Source organism: Homo sapiens, chromosome 17 (assembly GCF_000001405.40).
Source record: "Homo sapiens chromosome 17, GRCh38.p14 Primary Assembly".
NCBI lineage: Eukaryota > Metazoa > Chordata > Mammalia > Primates > Hominidae > Homo > Homo sapiens.
In genome coordinates, this window is record NC_000017.11 from 69,043,934 (window position 1) to 69,063,282 (window position 19,349).

Consider the following 19,349-nt stretch of genomic DNA (forward strand, 5'->3'; position numbering starts at 1 on the left):
TTTAAGACTAGCTGAAATGTCACTTCAATTAGCAAATTTTCCCTGATGTTTCTTATCAGAGTATATCCTGCTTCATTGTTTGCCTAGTACACCATTTTAAATTCCATGATAGAATCAGGCATGGTGGCATGGTCTGTAATCCCAGCTACTTGGGAGGCTGAGGTAGGAGGATCACTTGAGCCCAGAAGTTTGGGGGCTGCAGTGAGCTATAATCATGTCTGTGAATAGCCACTGCATTCCAGCCTGGGCAACAGAGTAAAACTTTGTCTCTAAGAAAAACAAAGTTAAAAATAAAAAATTCTATGATAGAATCTAAACTCTTATTATGACTATATATCCATGTTTCTATCTCCCCCTATACCAGTATCCCTGGAGAAAAATGCCTGTGTTCTACTTATTTTCTGATCCCCAGTACTTAGTACAATGGTTTTATTATGGAAGTTGTTCTGTATATTGTGCCTTATTAATGAAGTGAATAAATGATAGAATAGGATAATCCATTAAATCACCATCCAGCAAAATTCAAATGCAATGTGGTTAGATTCCTTTAACTTTATACTCACTTCTATGATAGCAGCATTAATGGCAGCTTGAAAAGCTACAAAGCCTTTCTCCCAGAACTCTGAACCTTCACACTTCATTTTTTCATTCACTGCTTGACAGTGAGCTTTAGAAGAAGAACACATCCATTATTACGGAATGATACAATCTTGGCTACAGAAAAAAACAAAATTTCAAATGTTTCAAAATGCAAAGTCCATGATAATATAGTGGATGGTAAGTCTTCTCAGTTGAGAGTTGCAGAGCACACCCAAACGGAATATAGCAGAATTACTTTACGAATATTTTTAAGACCAGTTCTCAATGATTTTTCATTATATTTTATAATTCTTTCCATTGGTCAAGATTGCTTTCCTTGAGCTTGGATCTTCTGTTGCTTACGTCAAGAAAGCACTAAACTTTAAGAAAATGTTTGGGAATCAATGAGCAAGATCATTTTGTTCAGGTTTTTTTTAGGAGCAACTTAGAAATAAGAGTAAATATAATTTCTTAATAAAACAATGTACTTAAGCACATAAGCTTCATTTAATAAATATGAATCTCCTTTATGTTCAGAAATTAAAGCTCTATGTTGTGGTTGTATATGTTTGTGTAGTTTCACCTCTGCTATCAGGTATGCCCCCTTTGTGGCTACTGATACAATAGCAAAAAAAATTTTTTTCTTCTTCAAAAGTTACCTGAATGGTCTCTGTGCTCTTTCATCATGGGGATTCTATGTCCCCAAGAAAACTTCAAATGGTAGGAGAAGGTATCAGTAAAGATGACTCTCACTGCGTCTATTGAATAGTTCAAATCCAATTCATCCATGCTTTTTTCATCAGGCCACCCCATGATTGTTCTTCCTGCCATGTGAAGAAAACAAAAGAAATAGTTAAGCAAGAAAATCTCTACCTGGCCATATTCAATTATGTTGAGGTTATTTTATGTTAAAGCTATTCCTTCCTAAAGGCAGTGCTGGGCCTAAATAAGACATGGAGGGGAGGGGGGTGGGAATTTCTGATGTTCTAGATAAAATCAGAAATTTATGGCAAACATTTGTATTGCAAATATAACTTACCCTTCCAAATAAATCATTTAAACAATGTATCATTCTGTTCTTACATTGCTATAAGAAAATACCGAGACTGGGTGATTTATAAAGAAAGAAGTTTAATTGACTCACAGTTCCCTATGACTGGGGAAGCCTCAGGAAACTTACAATCATAGCAGAAGGTACCTCTTTCCAGGGAGGCAGGAGAGAGAATGAGTGCAAGCAGGGGAAATGCCAGATGCTTATAAAACCATCAGATTTCATGAGAACTCACTCACTTTCATGAGAATAGCATGGGAGAAACCACCCCCATAATCCAATCACTTTCCACTAGGTCCCTCCCTTGACTCATGGGGATTGTGGGGATTATGGGGATTACAATTCAAGATAAAATTTTGGGTGGAGACACAGCCAAACCATATCAAACAATAATTTAACGCACAATGAATTTCAAAAAATTATTGCTATTGGAAATTCCAACGGTATTGGAAATAATCATTGGTATTGGTACTGGTATAAATATTGATATTGGAAATACCAATACATCAATTTAAATTCATATACAAACAAACCTATCTAAAGTTGGAATATATGCTGCAATTATAGTACACATCTTCATTTGGAAGTGATGTCAATGTAGCCAAATTTCCAAAGACAGAATAAAACTGTTGCATTTAGATAGTGTTTCCTTAAGAGACTTTGTTTATTCTAAAATATGTAGTGTAAATGGCTGACTGTTACTGATCTAACCCAGGCCATTTAACCCATATAAGCGCACCCTCCTGGTGCAATTCAGCAAGTTCTTTTGTCCTCGGTATTTCCTACAATCCAGCAGCTAGATCCAGAGGCTTAACCAGACTCAGGTCTAATCCTTTTTTGCCAGCCGATAGGTGTTGATGTGTTGTTTTATGAGAGGCTTATAATTTCTAGTTGTTTCTCTTTTTGAGATATTCCAGCTGTTGACCCTCAGTGCCTAGGTCCATTAATTCAATGGGAGTTTCAAAATGGTGATGTTTTATTTCTATCATTTCTTTTTCATCTACTAATATAAAACATTTATAAAATAATATTTTCTATTATCTATTTGGTTGTGCAATAGTTCACGTGGGATATGTGCTTGTATTTTCTCTTTATTTGCTATTTTCCATAATAAGAACTCATCACAATAGGCTGAGTATCTCTTATCACACACTCAAGACAAGAAGTATTTTGGGTTTCAATTTCTTTTTGGATTTTATAATATTTTCATACACATAATAAGAAATCTTGAGGATGCAACCCAAGTCTAAATGTGAAATTCATTTATGTTTCACATACACTTTATACACATTGCCTGAAGGCGATTTTATACTATATATATATATATATATATATATATATATATATATAAAATTTTATATATATAGAAAATTTTATATATATATATATAATTGTTGTTTGTTGGTTTGTGTTTTTGAGATGGACTTTCACTCTGTCACTGAGGCTGGAGTGCAGTGGCACGATCTCGGCTCACTGCAACCTTCACCTCCTGAGTGCAAGTGATTCTCCTGCCTCAGACTCCCAAGTAGCTGAGATTACAGGCACATGCCACCACACCCAGCTAATTTTTGTATTTTTAGTAGAGATGGGGTGTCACCATGTTGGCCAGGTTAGAACTCCTGACCTAAGATGATCCGCCCACCTCAGCCTCCCAAAGTGCTGGAATTACAGCACACTCAGCCTATACAATATTTTAAATGATTTTGTGCATAAAACAAAGTTTTTACTGCTTTTTCACTGTGACCGATCACATGAGGTGTATTGGTCTGTTTGCACACTGCTATAAAGACATAGCCAAGACTGGGTGATTTATAAAGGAAAGAGGTTTAATTGGCTCACAGTTCTGCATGGCTGGGTGAAGCAGGAAATATAAGAAAAACAAGTAAAGAGAAAACAAGTCCTTCCCTGACCAGGCTGACTCACTCCAAAGTGCAGCTGGAGCTATGATAACATTATCTGCAAGGCCAGGCAGGGGCCCCAGAGAAATGGATTCCAAGAGCAGGGAGGAGAAAAACAAGTTCTTATCAGTCTCTGCCTGAAATTCTCTCCCCATGCTATCATTCTTTGTTCTGCTCTTATAATTACTTTTGTAACTATTTCTGCAAGTTTGCAAGGATTTTGTAAGTTCCTGTTTTCCCATTTGTGCAGGATGGCAAAGGTCACAAGACATGCCTAAGTTGCAAAACCTGTCACAGTTTGATTAACTGCCTTTGTTCTGTTCTCACTTTCCCCATCCTGCAAATTTCACGCCACTGGCTAGCCACCCCACTTCAGTTGCATGAATAAAAGTCAAGCCCTGTCTTTGTTCGTGGCTCAGCCTCTGGATATTAATCTGCTGGGCCAGTGGCCACCTAAATAAAATCCTCCTGTTCCACCCATATGGTCTTTCTGGTCTCCTGATTCCTGCAACGTGGGGAGACCTCAGGACACTTACAATCATGGCAGATGGGGAAGCAGGCACCTTCACAATGTGGCAGGAGAGACAGGAAGCAAAGGGGGGAAAACCCCTTATAAAATCATTAGATCTTGTGAGAACTCACTATCATGAGAACAGCATGGGGGAAATTGCTCCCATGATCCAATCACTTCCCTCCCTCAAAACATGGAGATTACAGGTCCCTTCCTCCACATGTGGGGATTACAATTCAAGATGAGATTTGGGTGTGGACACAGAGTCAAACCTATCATGAGGTCAGGTGTGGAATATTCCACTTATGCATCATGTCAGGCTCAAAAGGCTTCAGATTTTGGAGCATTTCTGATTTTGGGTTTTAGAATTAGGGGTGCTCAACCTGTATCATCCTCTAACGGTAAAACGGTTAGTTATATTTTTCATTTAATAACTTGACGAAAGCATGGACTTACGCCACATTGGCTGCTGAGTTCTTTTGGCATAACCGATCAGGTCTTGATGGCTAGTCTCTAAGCTATCTGGAATGACAAGGTTCTTCACCTTGTAAATGTCCTGCCCTAGACCTTCTCTTCCATAGTGTGACTCCCAAGTTTTAAGGACACATGGGTGAGAGAATGAGACTATTCCATACTTACTTATTTGGTCTATCACACTTTACACATTTAACAGCTTCAATAGCATTCCAAAACTATACTAGTAATAAAATTTCTGAATATGGTTTCAGTTGCGATTCTCAAATTGGCCCTCTCTGCTTTCTGGTGGGTAATTATGAACTCTTAAAGAAGTTTCTTCAGGACCATCAGATACCTTATTGTTTCTCTTTGTTCTCTTCCTACACCCACAGGAAAAACCACGCCAATCTTGTGGCTTTTAGAGCTTTGTGTCCCACCCACATATATACTTTGTGGTACAAGGAAACATGTCACCTCTTTTCATTGTAAATATTGCCCATGGGTTTTCAAAATGATGTATAGTTTCTCTCTTAATATGTATGTATTTGAAAAATCATGCTGTCACTACAGTCCAATGTTTCCAGAATCTTTTCACAAACATACATTTAAATAACCCTGGACTATCTCATTTTGATATGTACAATTATGAAGATAACCCTTTTAATATGGAATTTCCTAAATGGGACACTAGTGAACAAACTACAAAAAATTTTGAGACTTGGAAGGAATATACGTTAATGTTGTTAATAAACTCTAGAAACTTGAACATTCAACATAATTTATGAAGGAAATCTCAAAATGAATTTGTGCCTTTTGCAAATAAGGAAATTACTATGAACAACCAGGGAACATACCTTTTAGGAATGGGGCTGAAGCCACTTTGTTCATTATCTCTTGGGTAGTTTTGGATTCAGGTGCAAATGCAATAACATAATTAGTATCATTAAAACTATCTACACGTCCCAGATCCATTGAAGACATTTGAGGAGTGTCATGAACTTGATGTAAATTGGAGAAAAATAGGTACAGAAACAGTACCAGAAGAAATGAAAAGAGCCATTCCTATATAGCAATAAGAGAAAAAGGAAACAAACTGGTAGATGTTATACCACAGATCAATCATCCACAAACAGTTTGAAATACTTAATTCTGTTATTTGGCTTGCATTCCATTTATTCTTTCTCCTAGTTTTTAAATATCCTGATTTTCTTTGTCCATTAATCTGCATATATTAAAATATGCACATTGTCTACCAAGACAGAATTGTAACATCAATTCCAGTTATAATTGAGAATCTAAGTTTACCACACTCTAGTGCAAGTGATAAAGCCTGTATTACTTTATGAATGGCCCAACAGTTTAGTCATGTTAAAATTTTAGTGACAGTGATAAATAAATAGTAGGTGATGTGGAATAGGTAACTAGCTTCCATCAACAGGAGCAAGATCATATCATATTTTTACCTTCTGTTGCTGGTATGTGGAAGAAGATAGTCCCAAAATGTTGCTCATAAAAAAACAAAGTTTTTTTGAATGTGGTCATCGTGACCACATTCGGGAATTGGAAATACAGCACAATGCAATTGAAACCCAGTGATAAGAACCTAGTTAATTATTTAGTTATGATACTACACATAAGTCCTTTTTAAAAGAGTTATATGTCATCTTCATCATATGATCCTTTTTTAGCTATGTGTGTTGGTCTATATCTGTTTCTATCTTAATAGAAAAATAAATATAATGTTTATATAAAAAAGAGCTAAAAGTTTAAAGGTAAAACATCTATGTAGGGCGGGATCACAACTTTTACATTTATATAATCTTTTCCCTATGCAGGAATTGTTGTATACTTTATTCCCTGCCTATCCAAGCATTCAATACATATTTGTTGCATGAACACACACACACACACACGAACACACACACACACACACACACACACACACACGTTCATAAGATCAGATGTTAATATAAGTTTTGAACTATGAGTATTCTATGGGTGATTTTATTATATTTTTCTGAGTTTACTAAATTTTTTGCACAAAGCACATCTAATCATTCTTATGATCAGAAGAAAATAAGTACTATTTTAATAGAAGTAAAAGATCACAATACTATTTTCCCATTTATTTACATGATTATTATTTCTTTCAAACTGACATTGTCTGTGTCTATAATGACATTGTGTAGAAGTGCTACAATTTGCCTTTTCATTGTTTGTTAGATTTTGGATTCCCTGCTTCTTTTTTACTTTGTCCCTGAACTTCTATACAAATGCGTTCATGAGATTCAAATGAGCTCAGCGGTTAAGAATTGTTATCTCTGAAGTATAAAGATATGGCTTTATTTTTCAAGGAGTTTCTGAATATGAATTTTTAAAAAAATGCCTCTAGTAAGACATAAAACAATAATACATAATGTAATTTGAAAAAATAAATTTTACCTGAACAAATAGCAAAGCCCAGAATTTGAAAAAAAATCTAGCTTGTTAATTAGACTACACATATGTGCAATGTTAAATAATGAAAATAAAGTGTTTATGTTGCCTGATAAAATACTTTTTCATCCTCTAAATATGAGAACACATAGACTCTGAAGCATACCAACAAGGTCTGTCTTTTCATTCTCCATTTTTTGAGACAGTTCTTGCAGAGAAGAGCCCATGTTTGCTGACCCACGCTCATGCGTCTCTTGCTCATTTTGACCTGTTTCCTTTAAAAAGACAGAAAAAAAATGAAGTACATGTGAAGGTCTAAAGTAGAAAACATTGTGCAATCAAACATAAAAGAAACATTGTAACAGCTGTTTCCAGTTGCATTCCTGGAGAAGAAGAAAGCCAAAAGGCTAAAATAAAAACATGTGAGGAAATGTTTAAACTCAATATTGAAAGAAATAAGAATTAAAACAACTATCAGATATTATTTCTCCATCATTGGATTGAGAAAAATCAGAAGAGTGAATAGTGTCGATCGTTGCTATCTCCTCAACTGTGGGTGTTGTTAAATTGTCTAATGGGGAGAAAGGAACTTTCCGCCTTGTTGTTGGGGGTACAAACTAACCCAGTCACATGGGTGATTCATTACTAATTCATTACTACTTAGCAATATCCTACCATCAATCAGTTCTGCTCCTGGATATGCAGCCCATGGAGATTCTCACATGGGGTCATGAGGGGACCAGTGCAAGGATGTTCTTTATAATGTAGATTATTGTGGCATGGTGTTAATAAAACAAATTTTGATGGATACAGTCCAAAGATTACTATGTAGGATTCAGGAGCACTGGATTGGCACACACCCATCCACATGAAGACATCTTAAAAATATAGCTCCAGTTCAAAGGAAGAAAGAAAGAAAAAGAAAAGATTGAGCATTAGGTCAAAATATCATTGATATCAATTCACATTACATGTGATACACATTTTCCAAAAATATTCAGGAACTAAAGGATCACCATCCCTAATACAATAAAAAGGTTATCTTTGGAAGTGGGAAATAAGAATGGAGGTTGGGTGAAAAGTGGGAATTGGAAATTAAAGAAAATAAGTAACCAAAACAAGATAGGAGCTTTGTTTGAATCAATTATTTTGTGTGCCACGAACTTAAGAGATTGATTAACTTTTACCCGGGACATCATGTCCAGCTACCAAGAAAAAATTACAGGCTGCATAAGGTGGCTCATGCCTGTAATCCCAGCACTTTGGGAGGCTGAGGCAGGAGGATTGCTTGAAGCCAGGAGTTAGAGACTGGCCTGGGCAACAAAGTGAGACCCCATCTCTATTTTTAAAAAATCAAAAAATTAGCTGGACATGGTCCTTGTAGTCCCAGCTACCAGCTACTTGGGAGGTTGAGGCAGAAGATTGCTTGAGCCCAACAAGATTGAGGCTGCAGTGAACCATCTTCATGCTACTGTACTACAGCCTGGGTGACAGAGAGAGACTCTGTCTCAAAAACAAATAGAAAAAATTATAACACATACTAGAAGGTAAAAAAGAAAAAACAGTATAAGGAGAGAAAGTATCAGAATCAGACTCAGATGTGGCAGAAATGTTGCAATTATTAGACTAGGAATTTGAAACAACAATGATTAAAATACTAAGGGCTTCAATGCATAAAGTAGACAATATGTAACGAGGGAGAAAAAAAAGTCCACACCTGTTTCTCTGTATAAAACACTTCTGATAACAAATGCTTGGGTTTTCCCCACAAAGAAATTCTCCAGTTCTCTGTGGACACCAACTGGGTGACCTAAAATTCAATTCACTTCAATTCTGACACTGTCTACTTGGAGTTACAGCAGATCCCACAGATTAAGGACTCAGTCCCAAAAGACTGCCCCCCACTTCAGATGCCAGTCAGAAGCCTGGGTCTTTTGTACTTCTGACTGACTGGCTATATATTAGGGGTTCCCATAACCCGCTCCTTGGGTTTGATAATTTGCTAGAGTAGCTCACAGAACTCAGAAAAACAGTCTAATTGCAATTACCAGTTTATTACAAAGGATAAAACTCAGGAACAGCCAAATAGAAAATATGCACATGGCAGAGTGTGCAGGACAGGACACTGAGCTTCCATTAACTCTCTGGGTGCACCACATTCCCAGCACCTTGAGATGTTCACCAAACCAGAAGTTCCCCAAACTCCTTCAGTTAGGGCTTTTGTGGAGACTTCTTTACATGGGCATGATTAATAAAATCATTGGCCATTGGAGATTAACTCGAACTCAATCTCCTCTCCTCTTCCTGGACATCTGGGGATGGGGCTGAAACCTTCTAATCACATGGGTGATTCCCTGGCAACCAGTCCTATCCTGAAGCAATCTAGGGGATTTCAGCCATCAGATATCTCATTAACACGAAGATACTCATTTCACTTCAGAGATTCCTGGTCTTAGAAGCTCTGTGTCAGGAACAGGGACCAAATATTATAACTAACGCTATTCCCATCACCCCTATGACTCAGGAAATTACAAGGGTTTTAGAGGTTTTGTGCCAAAACTAGGGGGCAGAGACAAAATATATATTTCTTATAATGCTGCATCATGCAGGAACGATGGGCAAGGTAAGAAAGGAGATAAAACTTCTAAGAGAGAACCAAAAATAAATGCCTAATATTAAAAAATACTATCAGAAATGAAGAATGCCTTTGATCTTTGATGAGCTTATTAGTAGACTACACACAGCTGAGAAAAGAATCCAAAACTTTTTGAAAAGAAAACAAAAAAAGACTGAAGAAAAAACAGAGCAGAATATTTAAGAACTATGGGACAATTGAAAATGTGTAACATATGCCTAATGGGAATACCAAAAAGAGAGAAAGAAAGGAACAGAAGAAATACTTTAAACAGTAATGACTGAGAATTTCCCCAGATAACGGCTAGACACCCAACCTTAGATTCAGGAAGGTCAGAGAACACCAAGCAGAATATTTGCTCAAACAACTACACCAAGAAATATCATTTTCAAACTACAGAAAATCAAAGATAAAGAAAAAAATCTTAAAGAAGCCAGAGGAAGAAAACATCTTTTCTATAGAGGAGCAAAAATAAGAATTTTATCTAACTTTTCTTCAGAAATTATGGAAACAAGAAGAGAATAAAGTATTTAATGTGCTCAGAGAATAAACCCACCAACTTAGCATTCTACCCTTAGTAGAATGTACTCTGTGATATTAACCTCAAAAGATGAAAGAGAAGTACTTTCTCAGACAAACAAAAAATGAGAGAATTTGTTGCCAGTAGACCTGCCTTGCAAAAATATGAAAAGAAGTTATTTCAAAAGAAGTAAAATGATATGTCACAAATTTATATATAAGCCTGGACACAGTGGCTCATGCCTGCAATTACAGCACTTTGGGAGGCTAAGGTAGGAGAATGGCTTGAGCCCAGAAGTTCAAGACCAGCCTGGGCAACATAGGGAGACCCTGTCTCTACAAAAACAAAATTATTTAAATTAGTGAGGCATGATGGCTTATGCCTGAGGCCCCAGCTACTAAGGAGGCTGAGGTAGAAAGGATCACTTGGGCCTGAGAGGTGGAGGCTGCAGTGAGCTGTGATGGTGACCCCGCACTCCAGCCTGGGCAAAGAGTGAGACCCTCTCTCAAAAAAAAAAAAAAGAAAAGAAAAGAAAATTCAGATTTACATAAAGAAAAAGCATGAGAGAAAGAAAGAATAAGTGAAGGTACAATAAAAACTTTTTCTTATTTTTAACTGATTTGAAACATAATAGAAAATAATAGCAATGTATTCAATTGTGTATACTTATGTTTATATATGTATATAATGCCATATATACAATATATGTATTACATTCATATATAATGTTCCTGTATGCTTATCTGTAAGTGAAATGAATGACAGTAATGATATGAGGGACAGGAGGGAGGAGGAATTGGGGTTATTTTGTTATTATAAGATACGCTACCAATTAAGTGGTATAGTGTTATTCGAAAGTTGACTTGGATTAATTGTAAATATATATTGCAAACTCTAAGGATTTAATTTGCTTTTCTTTTGGAAAATTCATGAAAGAAAGTAAAAACAAAAAACAAAAAAAATGAGTCTAAATGAATGATAATCTAAGAAAGAAGGAAAAATGAAATTATATTAAATGCTCAATTAAAACCACAAAAGGCAGAAAAAATGTAGACCAAAAATAGAATTGAAGACTAGAACAAAGGCAATAAATAGAAAATGGTAACAAATTTGGTAGATACTAATCCAATATGTCAATAATCACTTTGATCATCAATGGTCTAAATGCACCAATTAAAAGACAGAGATTGTCAGAGTAGATGACAAAAAAGATGTAATTACATGTTGTCTACATGAAACCAGCTTTAAATATAAAGACACATATAGATTAAAAGTAGAGGGATAAATATAGATGGACCATGCTAACAATAATCAGAAGAAAGCTGGAATAACTATATTAATTTCAGATGGAGTAGAATTCTAAAACAGAACAGACTTTTCATTCCAAAGAAGGAAAATTATCAGGGATAAAGTGAGAAGTTACATAAAGTTAAAGGGGTCAATTTTCCAAGAAGTCATAGCAATCTTTAACATGTGTGTGCTAACAACAGTGTCAAAATACTGAGAGAACTGCAAAGAGAAACAGATGAATCCACTCTTATAGTTGGAGACTTCATCACCTCTCTTGGCAGAAATGGACAGATCCAGCAGGCAGAAAATAAATAAAATCAGAGTTGAACTCAACAATATAATCAACCGATTGGGTAAAATGAACATTTCTACACACGATTTCACTCAATAACAGCAGGAAATTCATCCTTCTCATGCTCACATGGAACGCTCACCAAGATAGACCAATTTTGAGCCATAAAACACACCTTAGAAAATTTAAAGGAATAGAAATCATACAATGCATGCTCTTGGGCAATGGTAGAATTACACTAGAAATCAGTAATAGAAAGATAACTGGAAAATCTCCCAAATACATGGAGGTTAAACACACTTCTAAATAACATAAAAGTCAAAGAAAAAAATCTAATGACAAATTAAAACTTATTTTGAACTAAATAAAAATGAAAACACAGCTTATCAAAATTTGTGGCATACAGTGAAAGCTTTGCTTAGAGAGAAATTTACAGCATCCAATGCATACATTAGTAAAGAAGAAAGATCTAAAGCAAACAATCTAAGCTTACACCTTAGGAAATTAGAAAAAGAAAAGCAAATTAAATCCAAAGAAAGCAAAATAAAAGAAATAGTAAAAATTATGATAGAAATCAATGAAACGGAAAACAGGAAATCAATAGATAAAAATCAGTAAAACCAAAAGCTGGTTCTCTGAGATCAATAAAATCAATAGGCCTCTACCAAGACTAACTAAGAAAAAAGAGGGAGAGAACACAAGTTGCTAATATTAGAAATGAAAGAGGGGGCATCACTACAGATCTCATAGACATTAAGAGGACAATCAAAGAATATTATGAACAACCCTAGGCTTACAAATTTGATAGCCTAGATGAAACGAATCAGTTCCTTCAAAGAGACAATCTGTCAAAACTCACACAAGAATAAACAATCTGAATTAACCTTTATCTGTCAAAGAAACTGATTTAATAATCAATAATCTTCAAAACAGAAAGCATCACTGGTGGTTCCCCAGTGAATGGGTTCACTGGGAAATTCTATCAGACTGTTAAGGAAGAAATTATTTCAACACTCTACAATCTCTTCTAGATGCTAGAAGCAGAAAATGAAATACAATTCTGAATCTTTGTTCTGTATCTTTCAACTCCTCGTCCTTCATCCCCTGGGATATTTACAAAAGCCTACTTCATAAGGTGAAGCCTAATTAGATAGGATATACTGTGTAAGAGATAATGAGCAGAAGGAACTAGAGTAGAGTGATGGTGGTAATAACTATTTTGGAATAGTTAAATATGTGGTGATGAAGAGGCACAGAAATAAAAGCCAGATCTATGTCACTTGGTCAATAGAGATTTTCCTATGAAACATCCCAAGAGGTAGGAAGACTTGGAACTCATAGTTTTAACTAGTGTTCAATGGTGTGAAAATGCATTTTGGGGAGACGGTATGGGCATAAAAATGTAATTATTGTGGAATGGACTGTTGAGTCAAGGAATAGGTTTGGTGTATTATAGACAAACTTTATTCTTGCAAAGTAGATGGCCCGCTTTTACTGTTGATAGAAAAGAGCACCCAAACTAATCTTCACATCTATGATGGCTATAACCTTCCTATACATATGTGGATAGGTGGGAGGTGGAGTTAGGGAGAATGAATCAGCCAAATAGAGATAAACAAATCACATAAAATTGTCCTTGAAGGTACTTAAACAGATACCTCATTCTACCATTGTATTATTGAAATCAATATAGGGATAATCATTTGTAGGCACCAATGTTGCTCTGCTATTTTCAATGAGAGACAATCACCCATGCCTGCCTGCTTATGGGCTCAGCCTTGGCCTTGAGGGTAACCCACATAAGGGCCTAGGCTTACAAGAGTGAAAGAGAGAGAGAGAGAGTGGCCTTTAGGCTTGCACACAGATCCACCAGTCAGCCAGACTTTCACTTTCTAAAACATGGGCCTAGGCTTTAGGAAGTCTTTATAGGCTTTAGGAAGTCTTTATAGAATTGTTTGCAGAGAACAAACAAAGAATTCAGGATATGTCTGTCCAAAAGCCATTAACTGACCTACTACAACATAATGAAGGTAACTTACTTCAGATATGACAGTTTCAGTTTGGTAGTGCGGGTACAATGTAATTATTTATACTCTTTCATGTTAACACAGCTCAAAAACTATAGTCACCCATTTGTATTTGTGGGTTCTGCACTTGTGGATTCGACCAACTGGCGGTAGATAATGCTCAGAAAAAAAGGATGGCTAGGTTTGTACTGAACATGTAGAAGCTTTTTTTTTCTTGTCATTATTCCTGAAACAATAAAGTATAACAATTATTTACATAGAATTTACATTGCATTAGGTATTGTAAGTAAGCTAGAGATGATTTAAAGTACGCAGGAGAATATACATAGGTTAAATGCAAATATGACACCATTTTACATAATGGTGTCGTATATAAGGGAGAATAACAACGATGGTCTGAAAGTTGTAGAGCTTTAGTGAACATGAACTATTTTAACTGATAAAGAAAACGTAAGACCTAATCTTAGCTAACAAACCCAACATTCTAGGATGGGAAACTCACCCAGGAAATGATTCAAAGGTAGTAGTTCAAGTCTTGGTATAGTGGAGCACAAGGCCAGTTGACTAATAAGGCCTGTGTTTTCACATCAATGGTATCCTCTTTTGGTGCCATGTTGAACAGGAGTGGCAATCATAAGGTTGCTATTGCCCCTTCAATGGTTTTATTAATGAGGGTGCTCCTGGATCCTAGGTTCATGGTTCATCCTGCCATATTCATGGCAGGAGCAAAGCCATGAATATGCTGACCCCTTCTGGTATTCAAGAGACAGCTCAAGTGGGAAGACGATTTATTCAAGTCAGCCTCAAGGGGGTAGTACCAGAGATGGAGCCTATCCATGGTCTATTGCAGGGAATACTGTGCTGCTACTGAAGTCTGAAGGGCAAGGTGTATTAGTCTGTTCTCACACTGCTAATAAAGACTTACCTGAGGCCAGGTACCGTGGCTCATGCCTGTAATCCCAGCACTTTGGGAGGCTGAGGCAGGTGAATCACAAGGTCAGGAGTTCGAGACCAGCCTGGCCAACGTGGTGAAACCCCATCTCCACTAAAAATACAAAAAATTAGCTGGGTGTGGTGGCGAGTGCCCGTAATCCCAGCTCCTTGGGAGGCTGAGGCAGGAGAACCGCTTGAACCTGGGAGGCAGAGGTTGCAGTGAGCCGAGATTCCGCCACTGCACTCCAGCCTAGGTGACAGTGTGAGACTGTCTCAAAAAAAAAAAAAAGACATACCTGAGACTGAGTAATTCATAAAGGAAAGAGGTTTAACTGACTCACAGTTCTACATGACTGGGGAGGCCACACAATCATGGCTGAAGGCAAATAAGGAGCAAAGTCACGTCTTATATGGTGCCAGGCAAGAGAGCTTGGGTAGGGGAATTCCCCTTTATAAAACCATCAGATCTCGTGAGACTTGAATACTATCATGAGAACAGCCCAGGAAAGACCTGCCCCAATAATTCCATTACCTCCTCCTGCGTCCCTCCCATGACAGATAGGGATTATGGGGACTATAATTCAAGATGAGATTGGAGTGGGGACAGAGCCAAACTATATCACAAGGCATAGTTGAAGAGAAATGTGATTGGCAGAATAATGGTCCCGTTCTAATCCTGGAATTTGTGAATATGTTACAGTACATGACAAAGGGGAATTAAGGCAGTAGATGGAATTAAGGTTGCTAATCAGCTGACTTTGAAATAGGGAGATCATCCTGGATTATCTGGGTAGACCCAGTGTAATCACAAGGGTGCTAAAAAGTAAAACAGGGAGGCAGACAAGATCAGAGTGAGGCAGTAGAAGAAGGGTTCATTCTGCTGCTACGGCTTTGAAGATGGAGGAGGAAGACCATGAACCAAAGAATGCAAGAAACCTCTAGAAGCTACACAGGGTAAGAAAACAGATTCTCCCCTACAGCCCCCAGAAAGAGACACAGCCTAGCCAACCCCTTGATGTTAGCCGAGTGAGAACCACATCACACTTCTAACCCCCAGAGCTGTAAGATGATAACTCTGTTTTGTTCTAAACCATTAAGTTTGTGGTCATTTTTTTTTTTTTTACAGCAGCAATAGAAAGTTAACATGGGGGCAGGGTTGGGGGAAGGAGTCCGAGAGCCTGAGGCCTGAGAACAAGACAGGAAGACATTGCTGGACATTTATTTTATGACGTGCCTCATCAGCAGAACAAAGAAGGGCATGGACTTATGTTTAAAAACTGTCCAGAAGTGACCAAAGAAATTCACCAGTGATGCAGATGAGCTCCTAATAATCATGCCATCGGAGCAGGCTGTGATAGCCTGGAAATCCTGCCTGAAACCAAACTGCAACATTTCCAACTAAGAAATCAAGCGGTGATAAACCTCAGTATCTGAAAGGGTTAAATATTGTGCCCACGTGACTACTGTTCTTTCTTTCTGTGAATTAATGTGTGTGCCAGAAAATATTTGTGAATAAAAAACAATTACATAATCTCATTGTCATGAATGTGGTTATTTATCTCTGAGCGTTAAGACTGATTTTTCCCCCCACTGAACATCTTAGTGTAAATATCAGAGAAAAAATATACTACCCACCGTAATAATATAAAACATCTAATTAGCTTAAATTGTTCTGAATAGGAAATTGTATAATTTAGAAATAATAAATTGGTTATAAAAAGCCAATCATTTCCCAGTCAGATAAAATTCCTGTTATTCACAGAACAAATTTTTCTAATTTGTTGCACTGGGCAACAAATTAGATCAAAATTTTAAAATAGTTACTATAATAAACAAGATCAATAAAAATCTTTCCTTAAGTTTTCTTGATGAAAATATTCTCAAGCCATTTAAAAACAATTCAAAACTCAGAAAATTATGCATCCTGCAATGCTTACAATTCCTCTGGCAGTAAAATTAAAAACAAACAAAGAAGAGTAAGTAATTCAAATAAATTTGGAAATAGTTCATACTTGTAAAGAAGCAACATAACGTGACATTTCTTTTGATTTATTCAATAGCCTATTAGATAATGTATGCTATTTGTCCAAAAATGTTTTAGTTACGGGGTAAAAATTTAAATTCTTAGTTCTTCATTTGGTTATTTAGACATACAAAATAAAATAGATGATTTAAAAAGTCAAAATGACTCGTTAATAACTTACTGCTTTTAATGGTTTCTACCTAAACGTCTGGCATGCCTATTTATAGTCTTATGTTATATTTCTATATGCAAAATAACCACAATTTTAGAGGTTAACTTACTCTCAGGAAAGCTGGAGGAAAAATCTAGAAACACAGTTCATCCATGGGTCTCTGCATGTTCTGGAGGAGAATTCACATTCCTTTTGGGTCACTACTACATCATGCTTTTAATTTCACATTCATTGTGAATAGTTCTGTTTTATACAAATTTCCCAGGAGAATCTGGTCTCAGTTCAGCTAGCCTGCCAAAATATCTTCTGCTCACGTGGTGATTTCTTTGCTGTTTTCCATTTCTTTGTTTCCTGCTAGTTACTCAGCAGGGAGTTTGTAGTTGCAGATGGTTGGCTGGACATATCAAAACATTAGGAACTATCAAACCAAGGAGAATCTAGCCTTTCTCAATCGGTCTTTTCATACAAGGCCCTAATGGGAGAGTTGACCCCAACACAATGATTTAAACAAAGATAAGTAAGAAGCCAATCCAGAGAAGAGTAGAGCAGAACAAAGTGAAAAATACATAAATATATATGTTATATATATATATATTTTAAGTGACAAGTAAATACATACAAATTGGGTTAGAAACTATTTAAAACCTTCAACAGATTCTTAAAACTTGAATCCAGAAATACGGCAATAAAGCAATGTAATTTTCTTCAGGGTAACAAAAGAAACTCTGAGTTTCCATCTGCATCTCAGTTTCATTGTGTGCATACTAATTGTAGCATCTTTCATCTTTCATGGTACTGAAGCGAGCAGAATCTTTAGAGAAATCTCACATAACAATTACCTGTGCTCTCAAAGCCTCCAGGCTTGTCATCTCTGCAACGGTTCCCATGAAACAAACTACTTTCTCCACCAGTAACTACTGAATTTTAGTATGTCCTGCTTTCCAGTATTGTTAGAGAAACATTTTTAACTGGTAATAGATGCCATTCTGTCTATTTTTGAGCATCTTATGTAAGTAGAAGAAAAGACTGTTCCAAAATTCTTATAATTCATGGAGTTCATCTTTGGCTGAAGAAGAGGGGGGAAAGGACCACTATCATTCTGCTTACAGCCAGTAAGTCTGTTAAATTCTTCAGTACTGTAATTTCTTCCTGAACATACAGCTGAAAGGGAAACAATAAATGCATGCAATTCTTAAATCAGCCTCTTATCTGTGTCTCATGGACCATGATAACCAAATGAAATCTTCCTTACCCATTTCCCATTCTCTCAATATTGATTCAATTATATTTATCCTTTTTCTAATTATATGCGATCCAGAAGTTGCTCAGCAAGCAGTCTGTGGAAGTAGGCTGAACTCCTGAATCCATGAGACTGTCAAACTTAAAAAAAAAAAAAAAGACTTCTGATTGTTTCCATATGTCTACAGAAAAGGTTATAGGTTGGTTGATTTTCTGCAGAAAATACAAAATTATCACATTCAATACATTTAATAACATCGCCAACATTTTGTGCACAGAGAATATAATTTAGGAAATTTTTTTTCAGTAACTTGTTTCCTAGAAGAACTTTGTACCTAGGTTAGAGCTTATGAGTTCTGGACCTAGTTGATTTTGACTTTCGGTTCTAAATTCTGTTTTCAATGTTTCCTTCAGTGTACCACACTGTAATCTCTGTGGCACTATAACAGAGCAAGCTCCCTCTCATTGATCTTCTTTTTAATATTTTCTAGATTAAACAATATTTAATATTTATTTATTTATTTATTTATTTTGAGACGGAGTTTCCCTCTGTCACCCAGGCTGGAGTGCAGTGGCACAATCTCGGCTCAATGGAACCTCTGCCTCCCAGGTTCAAGCGATTCTCCTGCCTCAGCCTCCACAGTAGCTGGGACTACAGGCACCTGCCACCACGGCCAGCTAATTTTTGTGTGTTTTTAGTAGAGAAGGGGTTTCACCATTTTGGTCAAGCTGGTCTGGAACTCCTGACCTCAAATGATGCACCCACCTTGGCCCCACAAAGTGCTGGGATTACAGGCAGAAGCCACTGCGCCCGACGTATTTACTCTTATAAAGAAGTTTTTGAATCAGTTTACCAATTCAAAAACAATCCCATGGGAGTTCAAAAATGAAATGACACTGATTTTATACCATAATGTACACTTTTTTTGGCAACTACATATAGCATTTATTGTGTCTAAGACATACTTAAATATTAAAACATTTAATCCACAGAATAATCCCATGAGGTAGGCATTATTCTAATCAACCCATTTTACGGACCAGAAAGGTGAGGCCCAGGGAGTTACATAACTTGCCCAAATTCACACAGATGGTGAGTAGCGGAAACTGAGTTAAAACTCAGACAATCTGTAGAGTCTATGAGCTCAAATTACAAATGCTATGCTGTCTCATTTGCATATATCTCTGTTTATTCCATTATTCTTACTTTATGTGCACATATTTTACAATTTTCCTTGCCTTTTGCTTCATTTATTTTGCGGCAGTATTCTCCAGTGCCAGAAACCT

General features: G+C 36.6%; 1 protein-coding gene and 1 long non-coding RNA gene across 12 annotated transcripts in view; one reads left to right on the top strand and one right to left on the bottom strand.

The window, feature by feature from the left end:
• The window catches only part of ABCA9 (ATP binding cassette subfamily A member 9), a 104,490-nt gene that overhangs the window by 69,446 nt on the left and 15,695 nt on the right, over positions 1-19,349 (bottom strand). For 4 of the 11 annotated variants that reach the window (XR_007065256.1, XM_017024011.2, XM_024450529.2 and 1 more), the window contains exons 1-5: positions 18,076-18,170; positions 7,098-7,206; positions 5,350-5,557; positions 1,239-1,403; positions 564-667 (exon numbers count right to left, since the gene is read on the bottom strand). Coding sequence is in view for 10 of the 11 variants with exons in the window: in XM_017024011.2 (XP_016879500.1) it covers positions 564-667; positions 1,239-1,403; positions 5,350-5,557; positions 7,098-7,206; positions 18,076-18,086 (597 nt within the window). In the remaining variant the exon portion in view is untranslated. Of the gene's footprint in view, positions 1-563; positions 715-1,238; positions 1,404-5,349; positions 5,558-7,097; positions 7,207-16,932; positions 16,995-17,662; positions 17,899-18,075; positions 18,171-19,349 lie in introns of those variants that run through there. The other 7 variants (NM_080283.4, XM_017024012.2, XM_024450530.2 and 4 more) reach the window with 6 other exon arrangements.
• On the top strand, positions 15,206-16,159 carry LOC124904051 (uncharacterized). Its single transcript, XR_007065889.1, has 2 exons — positions 15,206-15,582; positions 15,755-16,159. It is a non-coding gene; the product is annotated as an uncharacterized LOC124904051 (long non-coding RNA).